Source organism: Homo sapiens, chromosome 10 (genome assembly GCF_000001405.40).
Source record: "Homo sapiens chromosome 10, GRCh38.p14 Primary Assembly".
In the NCBI taxonomy this organism is placed as follows: Eukaryota; Metazoa; Chordata; class Mammalia; order Primates; family Hominidae; genus Homo; species Homo sapiens.
Window position 1 is genome coordinate 30,554,703 of NC_000010.11, and position 12,213 is coordinate 30,566,915.

Genomic DNA, 12,213 nt, shown 5'->3' on the forward strand with positions numbered 1-12,213 from the left:
AAAAAAGATGTGAGGAAATTAAACAATGAAGCTATAAGAATTGAACAGACAGAGAGAAACAAAATGAATATGAAACTTTTTATGCTTCTTCACTTTTAGATAACATGTGTACACCTTTCTCCATAAAATATATATTTTTATTTTTTCAGTTTTATTTATTATTGTTATTATTATTATTATTTTTGTAGAGACGGGAGGGGGTTCTCACTTTGTTGCCTAGGCTGGTCTTGAACTCTTGAGCTCAAGTGATCCTCCTGCCTCTGCCTCCTGAAGTGCTGGGATTACAGGTATGAGTCACCACACCCAGCTGTAATTTTTCTTTTGAGACAGGGTCTCACTGTTGTTACCCGGGCTGGAGTGCAATGGCGCAATCTTGGCTCACTGCAACCTCCGCCTCCCGGGTTCACGTGATTCTCCTGCCTCAGCCTCCCAAGTAGCTGGGATTACAGGCACCTGCCACCGTACCCAGCTAATTTTTGAATTTTTAGTAGAGATGGGTTTTGCCATGTTGGCCAGGCTAGTCTCCAACTCCTGACCTCAGGTGATCCACCCACTAAAGCCTCCCAAAGTGCTGGGATTACAGGCATGACCCATCTTGCCTGGCCCGGCTGTAACTTTTAAGTAAAAATTCAGCTTTGCTGGCATTGTTACACATGTTAACTTTTTAGTCATCAACACAATCTTTTAAGAAAGATAAAATGTATTAAACAGATATTCATCTTATAGAACATTTAGACGATACAGATGAACAAAAGGAAGAAAGTAAAAAACTCTCACAATTTCACCACTTTGAGATAATCCATGTTAAAATAGTTTTTCCATTCTCTTTCCTTACATTTACATGTAACAGAGTGAAGAGAACAGTTTACACCAGTTTCTTGTATTTACTTATTTTTTTAGAGACAGGGTCTTGCTATGTTGGCCAGGCCAGAGTGCAGTGGCTATTCGCAGGCACCATCCCACTACTAATCAGCATGGAAATTTTGACCTGCTCCATTTCCAACCTGGGCCAATTCATCCCTCCCTAGCCAACCTGTTGGTCCTCGGCTCCAGGGAGTTCACCATATTGGTGATGAACTTAGTGTGGACACCCAATCAGCACAGCGCACTGCAGCCCAAAACTCCTGGCTGGGCTCAAGCGATCCTCTGGCCTCAGTCTCCGGAGTAGCTGGGACTACACATGTGTACCACCACACCTCAGCCTTCCAAGTAGCTGGGACTACAGGTGTGCACCACCATGCCTAGCCACACCTGAGTTTCTTGGGAGGAGAGGATTGTCTGTGTCTGGAAGGAACATTGGAAACTGTGGTGTCAGGAAATCTCAAAGAGTAAACTCATAGACTCAAAACATCCAGTTGGCTGAACTCCCCTCTGAGGAGAGATGGTGCTGGTGGCTTCGGTGGGGGGTCTCTCTGTACTGAGAGTTGTGATGAATGGCGTGTGCAATTGGAGAACTGTAGCTGGGGCCAAGCTGAATTCCTCTATGTAATAGAGGGGAGGGGATTTTTAGCTTCATTTTGGGGAGGGGCCAGATGCCAAGTTAAAGGGAGGAAAATAGGATCAAAAGAGCTGGGTACACCATGAGGGGGAGAAGAAAAGCCTCCTGTTTTTGTAGAGACTGGGAACTTAGCAAGGTAGGAGACAGCTATACACTGCATGCTCAGATTCCTCAAAAACTCAGGAAATTATTCATCATTTGCTAATCCTGTTGGGCAAGTGGATTCTTCTGCTTTTGACATAGGAGTGCTTGTTCAATAAGTATTTATGATTTTTTTTTTTGAAATGGATTCTTGCTCTGTTACCCAGGCTGGAGTGCAATGGCATGATCTTGGCTCACTGCAACCTCCACCTCCCAGTTTCAAGCGATTTTCCTGCCTCAGCCTCCCTAGTAGCTGGGATTACAGGCATGCGCCACCATGTCCAGCTAACTGTATTTTTAGTAGAGACGGGGTTTCACCATGTTAGCCAAGCTGGTCTCAAACCCCCGACCTCAGGTGATCTGCCTGCCTCAGCCTCTCAAAGTGCTGGGATTACAGGAGTGAGCCACCGCACTCAGCCTAAGTTTTTTTATATTATCTGAGTTCCTGCAGCTACCAGTGTATTGAGGGAAGCCCAATCTAACCAGCATGAAAATATTCAGGAATGCACTGACCACACATAAAATCAGTCAGAGCTAGCTCATCTCTCCCCACTTTTATTCTAAAGTCATAGTTTAGGCCAGGCATGGAGGCTTGAGCCTGTAATCCTAGCTACTCAGGAGGCTGAGGCAGGAGGATGTCTTGAGGCCATGAGTTTGCAACCAGCCTAGGCAACATAGTGAGACCCTATCTCTAAAAAAATAAAAAATTAGGCCAGGCACAGGGAGTCACGTCTGTAATCCCAGCACTTTGGGAGGCCAAGGTGAGCAGATGACCTGAGGTCAAGAGCTCGAGACCATCCTGGCCAACATGGTGAAACCCTGTCTGTACTAAAAATACAAAAATTAGCCAGGCGTGGTGGTACGCACCTGTAGTCCCAGCTACTCTGGAGGCTGAGGCAGAATAATTGCTTGAACCCAGGAAGCAGAGGTTGCAGTGAGTTGAGATTGTGCCACTGCACTCCAGCCTAGGCAACAGAGCGAGACTCTGTCTCAACAAAAATAACAATGAATAAAAAATTAGCCAAGCCTGGTGGTGTGCACTTGTAATTCCAGCTACTTGAGAGACTGAAGCAGGACGATCACTCATGCCCAGGAGTTTGAGGCTGCAATGAGTTATGATTGTGCCACTATAGTTTAGCCTGGGCAACAGAGCAAGATCCTGTCTCAAAAAAAAGAAAAAAAAAAAGAAAAAAACACATATTTTTATTACGTTTTATGTAGGCATTTTCTCCTTATCTAAAATTAAAGAAGCAGAACTGGTCCCCACCCACTGTTTTGTGGGTCTCCATTTTCCTGTTGCTTGATGCTGCAAAATTCCACAAGCAGGGCCCAAACAAAATGAACATTACTACAAAGATAATTTCTTTCTTTTTTTCTTTTCTTTGAGACAGAGTCTCGCTCAGCCGCCCAGGCTGAAGTGCAGTGGCATGATCTCAGCTCACTGCAACCACTGTCTCCCCAGTTCAAGCGATTCTCCTGTCTCAGCCTCCCGAGTAGCTGGGATTACAGGCACCTGCCATCATGCCTGGCTAATTTTTGTATTTTCGTAGAGACAGGGTTTCACCATGTTGGCCAGACTGGTCTTGAACTCCTGACCTCAGGTGATCTGCCCGCCTCGGCCTCCCAAAGTGCTAGGATTAAAGACGTGAGCCACCGCACCCGGCCTACAAAGAGAATTTCAAATCTTGCAAAAGAAGTGAGATTTCACGAAAGTGTTGAAATTGATGTTTGGAGAATGGCTCAAAGAATCTGCAATGTCATTGACAAATGAGGATCTGGCAGAGTTAGACCAAGTCAGCAATAGAAGGAGAGAAAATTCCACAAGGATGATGTCATAGGTTGTTTCGAAGCATGTGATTTTACCATAGGTATCAAAGAATTACAGAAGGCCCACAGAGAAAAGGATGAAACTCTCTGAGCAAAACATGACCCACTTTATGGATTCATTGTGAAAATTCAGCAAACAATCAAAGTGCAGCAAATGATGCTATAGATCTATTCAGGATTCATTTCATTCATTCTAAGAATTAGTGCATGGATATGATTTTAACTTACATTGTGTTAAATAAAATTATTTTTGCACTTGTTCTTAGCCAAATGGCCGAGAAGCGATACATTATTTTTGTCCTTGTTAGTTTGATTTTTTAAGATCAAATTTGTGCCAAATCTTATTTACATACTACTTAATATTGTTAGAGTAGGTAGCTAAGCAGACATGAGCAGGCCAGGATATAGCCCGACTCCCCCAGGAGTGTCAAGCGATTATCAGGTGATGATCAGGCAGTTGTTTTGTTTTGTTTTGTTTGAGACGGAGCCTCCATATGTCGCCCAGGCTGGAGTGCAGTGGTGCGATCTCAGCTCACGGCAACCTCCGCCTCCTGAGTTCAAGCGATTCTCCCGCCTCAGACTCCCGAGTAACTGGGATTACAGGCGCCCCCACACTAAACTCGGCTTTTTTTTTTTTTTTTTTTTTTTTTTGAGACGGAGTTTTGCTTTTGTTGCCCAGGCTGGAGTGCAATTGTGCGATCTTGGCTCACAGCAACCTCTGTCTCCAGGGTTCAAGCAATTCTCCTGCCTCAGCCTCCCGAGTAGCTGGGATTATAGGCGTGTGCCGCCACACCCGGCTAATTTTGTATTTTTTTTTTTTTATTAGAGACAGGGTTTCTGCACGTTGGTCAGGCTGGTCTCGAACTCCTGACCTCTCAGGTGATCCACCTGCCTCTGCCTCCCAATGTGTTGGGATTACGGGCGTGAGCCACCGAGCCCGGCCCATCAGGCAGTTGTTAAACTATCGCTCTAAAATAATAATTGGTTGCAGCTGGCACCAGGGAAAGGCAGGCTCCGAACAGATAGAAAACACCTGAAGCTGGTGATCAGCTTCCTGGTAAGATCCCAGGAGTTGGGCGAGTGGGCTCAAGCATGAGCACTAACAGGCAAAGTGGTGGCGTTTACCTGGTTTATGACCTTCCTCTAGGAACACTCAATTGGTAAGGGAAGAACGCACCAATTAGGCATGCACAACTTCACTAAACACACTGCGCATGCGGTCCCGCCCAAGTGCTGGCAGGCCACTGAGCATGCAGACAGCCCATCCCAACGGGAGAATCAGGGGAGAAGGGATGCAACCCCCTGGAAGCATGCCAATGTATAAAACCCCAAGTCAAAGGTCAAACAGCGCACTTGGCCCTCTTCCAAGTGTACTTTCCTTCCTTTTGTTCCTACTCTAAAACTTCTTAATAAATTTACACTCCTGCTGTAAAACTTGCCTTGGTTTCTCACTGTGCCTTATGCCCCTTGGATGAAGTCTGTCCTCTGAGGAGGAAAGAATTGACTTGCTGCAGACCTGTGCAGATTGGCTGCTGCTAACAATATAAAAATTTTAGTTTCTAATAGGAAATTTAAAACACAAGTCAACATAGATAATTGTCTTTATAACTCCTATGTATCCATCACCCAGCTCAAACTATTATTGACTTATGGCCAATTTTTGTAAGTGAAGTTTTTATTAAGAACATAAAATTATAAAGGTATACAAGAATGCATAAATCATAGTTGTATAGCTTGTAAATTTTCACAAATTAAAAAGTTTATTTAATCAGCACATAGATCAAAAGATACAATGTCACAGCACCCTGGAGGATTCTCTCTGCCCACTTCTAGTCAATATCCCTCCCAAAGTAAGGACCTTCCTTTTAACACCATGGACCAGGGGCACAAGGCCAATCTTATCACCTCCTCCATGCTTGCCAATCTCGCCCCTCTCCCCGCTGCTTCTGACTCTGCATCCTGTCATTTTGCCTGAAAATATTTCAGTTTAAAATTAAACTTAAATATTTAAAAATAAATATTAAATATTTAATCTTAAATATTTAAGTTTAAAAAATACTTACGGCCAGGAGTTCAAGATCAGCCTGGGCAATATAGTGAGACCCCCGTCTCTACAAAAACAAAAAAAAATTAGCTTGGAGTGGTGGCTGTCAGCTGTAGTCCTAGCTACTTAGGAAGCTAAGGCAGAAGGATCACCTAAGCCCAGGAGTTCGAGGCTGCAGTGAGCTATGATTTTGCCACTGTGCTCTGGCCTGGGCGACAGAGTGAGACCCAGTCTCAAAAAAAGACCCTTTAAAAATAATAGTAATACCACAGTCACATTTTAAAAATTAACTGTAATATTAATAATTGCATGTGTCAGCAAATATCTTGAATGTTTATGTATTTCCCTGGGTTTCTTATAATTTAAAGTTTTACAGTTTGAATCATTACCTAAGTAAAATCCATAAGTAGTTGTTTTTTTTTTTTTTTTTTTTTTTTTTTGCCTGTTGCCCAGGCTGGAGTGCAGTGGTGTGATCCCAGCTCACTGCAACCTCCACCTCCTGGGCTCAAATGATTCTCCTGCCTCAGCCTCCCAGTACTTGTGATTACAGGCACATGCCACCACACTCGGCTAATTTTTGTATTTTTAGTAGAGAGGGAGTTTCGCCATGTTGGCCAGGCTGGTCTCGAACTCCTGACCTCAGGTAATCCACCCACCTTGGTCTCCCAAAGTGCTGGGATTACAGGCATGAGCCACTGCGCTGGGCCCCATAAGTTTTTAACATTTTTAAAAAAATCTGTAGGTTCCTCTCCCATCTCTCTCTTTCTCTTTCTTCCTTCTTTCCTTCTCCTCCTCTTCTCTCTCCTCTTCCCCATCTCCTTCACTGCAATTTTTTTTTCGTTGAAGGAACTGGGCATTTGCGTTGCAGAATTTCTGTGGTCTGACTTTCTTCATTGCGTGCTGTAGGGTTATTTATCACAGCTTTTCTCTCCTACGTGTATTCTGTAAATCAGTAGGTAGATCCAGGATTTTGATTAGATTCAGGTTCAGTTTTTTTAGCAAAAACTTCCCCTGGTGGCGTGGGGTCTTTCCATGCACACTGCTTGGTTGTCTCTCTTTTGTGACTTCAGCAGCCATTGATAGTCATTGCTTCAATCCATTAAGTCATAGGGATTTGCAAAATGATGTTATTCTATCATTTCTTCTTCATTTATTAGTCAAAATACTTCTAAAAAGAAACTTTCCCTCATCAACTATTTGGCTACCCTGAGGGACAGTTTACATAGAAAATGCAGAATAAATGCATGATTCGTTTTCTTTATTTACAGTTAAAGAAAAATGAGTCCTCAAGAGGTGAGTATCATTGTGAACTTTTGCAGCTAGAGATCTCTGAACTGATATTTCTAAAGTCCCTGTGAGTCTGAAGGTTTGAATCCCAAAGCTGGGCTTCATTGGCCTCACCTGGAAAAGGGAGACAGTGCCTGGGAGAGAACCTAATCGGGAAATGTTGGTTGAATACAGATTTCGTTTGAAAGAATGCAATGATTTACTGGGCATGGACGATGTGCTTTCCTCTTTTGTGTATTTCTCTCAAAAACATCGTGATGATATGAGCTCTGATCCGCCCCCCCACCCCCCCCCCTTTTTTTTTTTTTTGAGATGGAGTCTCGCTCTGTGGCCCAGGCTGGATTGCAGTGGGTGATCTTGGCTCACTGCAACCTCTGCCTCCCGGGTTCAAGTGATTCTCCTGCCTCAGCCTCCTGAGTAGCTGGGACTACAGGCACGTGCCACCACGCTCAGCTAATTTTTGTTTTTTAGGAGAGACAGGGTTTCATCATGTTGACCAGGATGGTCTAGATCTCCTGACCTCGTGAACCACCCATCTCAGCCTCCCAAAACCCTGCGATTACAGGCATGAACCACTGCACCCGGCCGATCCCTTTTTATAGACGAAAACGATGATTAGAGAGGCCTGGTAGCTTGTCTAGATCACACGGCTGCACAGAATCCGAGCCAGGCTTCACATCCCAGCTGTGTGACTTACAGACCAAGGTGGGTGCGGATGTCCCATGCTCATAGCTACCTTGTTGGGTGGGCTCTCTGGAGCACCTGAGCCCTGCTAGCTCCATAGAATATCGAGAACTGCCTTGGAGGACTTACTCCCCTACCATACAGGGTTCCTCTTCACCGTGATTATTTCTCACCTGTGCTACCACAGTATCCCCTTGACAGGTCTCCCTGCCTTCCCTCCCAGTCCTCTCCGTAGTCTGTTTTCAGCATGGCGGGCGGAGCGAAGCTTGCAGAGTGCACGTCCCGGGACCACACCCTCCCAACTGCCACTGAGGGAATGTGGTCAAAATAATCTTAGAATAAATTATACCCAGATTTTGCCTAGTAGAAAATATTGATTCAGATGATGGGAGCCCCTTTATCTCAAGGGTGCTAAGGAGAATTATGGAAGGTTTACACATCAGATGGGATTACCACACTCCTTGGCATCCCCCTTCCTCTGGAAAAGTAGAAAGAATGAATCAGACTCTCAAAAAGCATATTACTAAACTAATCTTAGAAACTAAAATGCCTTGGACCAAATGGATCCCAATAGCACTCCTTAGGATTAGGACGGCCCCAAGGAAAGACTTGGGATTTTTTCCTTACGAGCTATTATATGGACTCCCGTATTTAGGTAGGACTACTGGCCTTTCTACTATGGAAACCAAAGACCAATTTTTAAGAAATTATATACTGAGCATATCCTCCTCCCTGTCATCCCTGAGGTTCAAAGGACTCCTGACTCAAACCCTGCCTCTTGAGTTCATGGTTAACCACTTCCAGCCTGGCAACTCAGTGCTGATTAAGACTTGGAAAGAAGACAAGCTCCACCCAAGCTGGGGAGGTCCTATCGGGTGCTCCTAATCACTGACACAGCCTACGAACAGCTGAAAGGTGTGAACACATTACACTCAGGTCAAGAGACTGGTAAAAGAACTCCCGTAAGGAAGGGAAAAGGGTGAATGGGAAGTGTATAGATCACCTAAGGAACCCTTAAAATTAACTCTAAGGAAAACCTGGAAGGAAGCTATGAGCAGGCTCCATCACTGGGGGTGGATGTGGTTAGGATTAATCCTACTACCAGGGGTGAGAGGGTACACAATTATTGGATGGAGCCCGGTAGAAGAATATCCAATCAAACTAGTAGTCAACATAACTAGAACCTCCACCCCCTAGACCATAAAGTTTGATGCCTCCTAAGTCGTACATTGTGGGAATTTAGGGAACCAAAGGCAGCTGTCACAAGCAAACAAACATCTATGTCCTGAAACAGGTCGCTATTGGGGAAAGCCCTGCGCTAGCTGGAATGAGGTCTGGTGGACCACCCAATTTCGAGGCTGAGCCATTCTTCCAAAAACAAACCCTTAAGAAGAAAATACATTTGTATAGGGGCCCCCTGTCACCTGACTGTAGAAATGTAGAATGCAATCCTATATTAATTACCATAAACAACCCAGCTACTCTAGACCAGGAACCTTAGAGGTATGGGTCAGGAATAGATACCTCAGGAAGGGATCCAATAGGATGGTTAGCTCTTAGGCTAGTCACCAACTCTACTCTGAGCCCACCCAGGATTACTATAACTCCCAGTCCCACTACTTCCTTTAACCAGACAATGACCCTAAGAGAGTAAAAATAATTAAGGTAACTGACTTGAGGCAGACTTTAGAAATTGAGACTGGATATGGGAATGTAAATGCCTGGGTTGAATGGGTCAGATTTTTGGTACTAGCTCTTCATAAGAGTGACTGTTCCGCATGCTCTGCTGGGCAGCCTCAGGCACAGGTGGTTCCATTTGCCCCAGGATGGGATACCAATCCCGATGGAATGTGTTGCATGTTGGCTCTATACCAGGAAAGGGATGCATAGGGAAATGAGACTTGCAAAATCTATCATTGCTCTTTACTGCCTTGTGGAGGTCAGACCCTAGAGCAATCCCCTCATTCTCCATAGGGTATATGAACCACTCCTCTTGCCTCTCTAGGCAGGGGGCAGAGTTCAATAAGCCTGTGGGAGAACCCTCGACTTGTACCCACATCCTAAACATTACTGGTGAGTCAAACAAAGGCAACTGCTCAGCTCTTCATATACCCCGGGCTGATGTCTGGTGGTATTGTGGAAAGAGGGACCTCCATGACCTATTACCATCCAACTGGATCTGCACTTGTGCCTTAGTTCAACTGGCCATTCCATTCATCCTGGCATTCTGTAAGATTCCCAAGAATCCACATGGCCACTGAAGTCGGAGAGACCTAACAAATTATTTTGATCCCAACGTTTATATTGACTCAACAGGAGTTCCTAGAGGAGTACCTGATGAATTTAAGACCCGAAACCAAATAGCTGTTGGGTTTGAATCAGCACTCTTCTGGTGGTCAACTACTAATAAAAACGTGGATTGGATTAATTACATCTATTATAATCAACAAAGATTCATCAGCTATACTCGATACACTCTCAAGGGAGTGGCTAACCAGTTAGATGCCACCAGCCAAATGGCCTGGGAGAACAGACTTGCACTGCATAAGATCTTAGCAGAGAAAGGGGGCGTATGCATCATGCTGGATGGAAAGTGTTGCACTTTAATTCCTAACAATACTGCCCCAGATGGAACCATCACAAATGCATTACAAGGGTTAATTGTTCTAGTCAATGAATTGGTGGAAAATGTTGGAATTGATGACCCATTTACTGATTGGCTAGAAAGTTAGTTCAGGAAATGGAAAGGAATGGCAGCCTCCATTCTAACATCCCCTGCAATAGTGGCTGGAGTCCTAACAGCTGTAGGCCATCGCACTATCCCCTGTGTTAGAGGGTTAACCCCCAAATTAATGGAAACAGCCATCAACAAACAAATGCCCATAACATGTCAACTATTATTAGAAACTAAATCAGTTCTACTCTCTTATGATGAAGAGAGTCAATAGCTCTTGAAATGATTTGAGGAGCAAAGGACACAAAAATAAATCTGGAATTGGGACCAATAGGAGTAAAAAGAAAAAGAGGAGGGAGTTGAGGAAATAATGCACATCCTTTTCCAAGGCAAAGTGCCTTGAATTGGCATCGAGGCATTCCAGATAGGCCAAGGAAATGCTGTGGGAAGAAAGTTAGATTTACACCTAATATAATAGTGAAAATGATAGTGAAATATATAATAGTGAAGTGAATTATGAAGCAACAAACTACGGAAGAAACGGGGCATACTAGGACCCCTGCTTGGATAGCCGACACCTGCTTGTCCTCCCCACCCTTAGCTGCCCTCACCCAAACCAAGAAGTTTAGTCTAAGATGAAAGTTTACTAGCCTGCAAAATAGCTTGCTTCATCTGTTCTTATCAGCCTGCCCAGCTACTTAGGTCGTAAGTCAAATACTTGGAGAGCCCCAGAGCTAATTAAGACTGCAACATATTATGGGCTGCAACAAAATGCAGCAGGACAACCCTGAAGAAAACACCTACAACCCCTACCCAACAACCAATAGGCGACATCTGGGAAGACTGTGACCCCATGATACTCAGCCTATAAGGAACTGGGGGAGGGACCTGTGCACTAGGGGATAAATTGCTTGTTGCAATTGTGCTAAGTGTACCTGCCCATCAGATACCCAGTCTTGCAAGACTGTCCTTAAAAATCTCACTTTTGCTGTTCTCCAGGTCTCTGAGTTCGTTCTTTGGGTTTGGAGGGGTGAATTTGTTTCTCACTATTAGGTGTTCCATTCTTTATCTGTGCTACATGCCTTGTTGAATTTCTATATAGTTGTTATATAGTTGGTGTAATTTTATGTTGCTTTTAAAAAATTTATGCTGTTACCATTCCATTTGTTTAATAATAGCTATACGGAGCTATAATTCACATACCATTTAATTCACCTATTTTGAGTACAATTCAATGATTTTAGTATGTTCACAGAGTTGTGCAACCATCACCACAATCAATTTTAGAACATTTTCATCATTCCAAAAGAAACCCTGTATGTACTTATAGTCTTTTCCCCACTTTCCCCCAATTCCCTCAACCTTAGGCAACCACAAATCTACTTTCTGTCTCTACAGATTTGTTTATTCTGGACATTTACAAATGGAATCATATGATATATGGCCTTTTGTGTCTGGCTTCTTTCACTTAGCATAATTTTTTAGGGTTCATTGATATCGCAGCATCTATTAGTACTTCATTTCTTTTTATTGTTGAACAGTCCATTGTACAAGTACACTGCATTTCATTTATCAGTTGATGGACATTTGGGTTGTTTGCACTTTGTGCTGTTGTGAATAATGCTGTTCTGAACATTTGTTTATATATTTTTATATGAACATGTGCTTTCATTGCTCTTGGGTACATATCTTGCAGTGGAATTGCTGGTGATAGGGTGTCTCTATGTTTAAACTTTTGAGGAATTAGCAGACTGGTTTCCAGTAACATTTTGTTTCTGCCAGCAATTATGAGGGTTCCATCTTCGGCACATTCTTGTCAATAATTGTTGAAATCTGTCATTTTGATAATAGCCATCCTAACGGGTATGAAGTGGCAAGGTTTTGATTAACATTTTCCTGATGGATAACAATATTGAGTACTTTTTCATGTGCTCATGGGCCATTTGTTTATCTTTGAAAAACGTCTGTTTAGATCTTTCGTCCATTGAGTTGTCATTTTATTTGATTTTTTTTGAGACAGGGTCTTGCTCTATTGCTCAGGCTGGAGTGAAGTGGCAT

The 12,213-nt window shown here is 43.5% G+C and overlaps 1 pseudogene, besides 1 other annotated feature; it reads right to left on the reverse strand.

Annotated features, from left to right (window-relative positions):
• Nucleotides 899-1,202, reverse strand: RN7SL63P (RNA, 7SL, cytoplasmic 63, pseudogene; annotated as a pseudogene).
• Nucleotides 4,366-4,945: an enhancer, noted in NCBI's record as "H3K27ac-H3K4me1 hESC enhancer chr10:30847997-30848576 (GRCh37/hg19 assembly coordinates)". NCBI's record gives its function as "activates a minimal SCP1, AML or CMV promoter by ChIP-STARR-seq in naive H9 embryonic stem cells {active_cell/tissue: H9 hESC(naive)}" and the evidence as "EXISTENCE:reporter gene assay evidence [ECO:0000049][PMID:30033119]".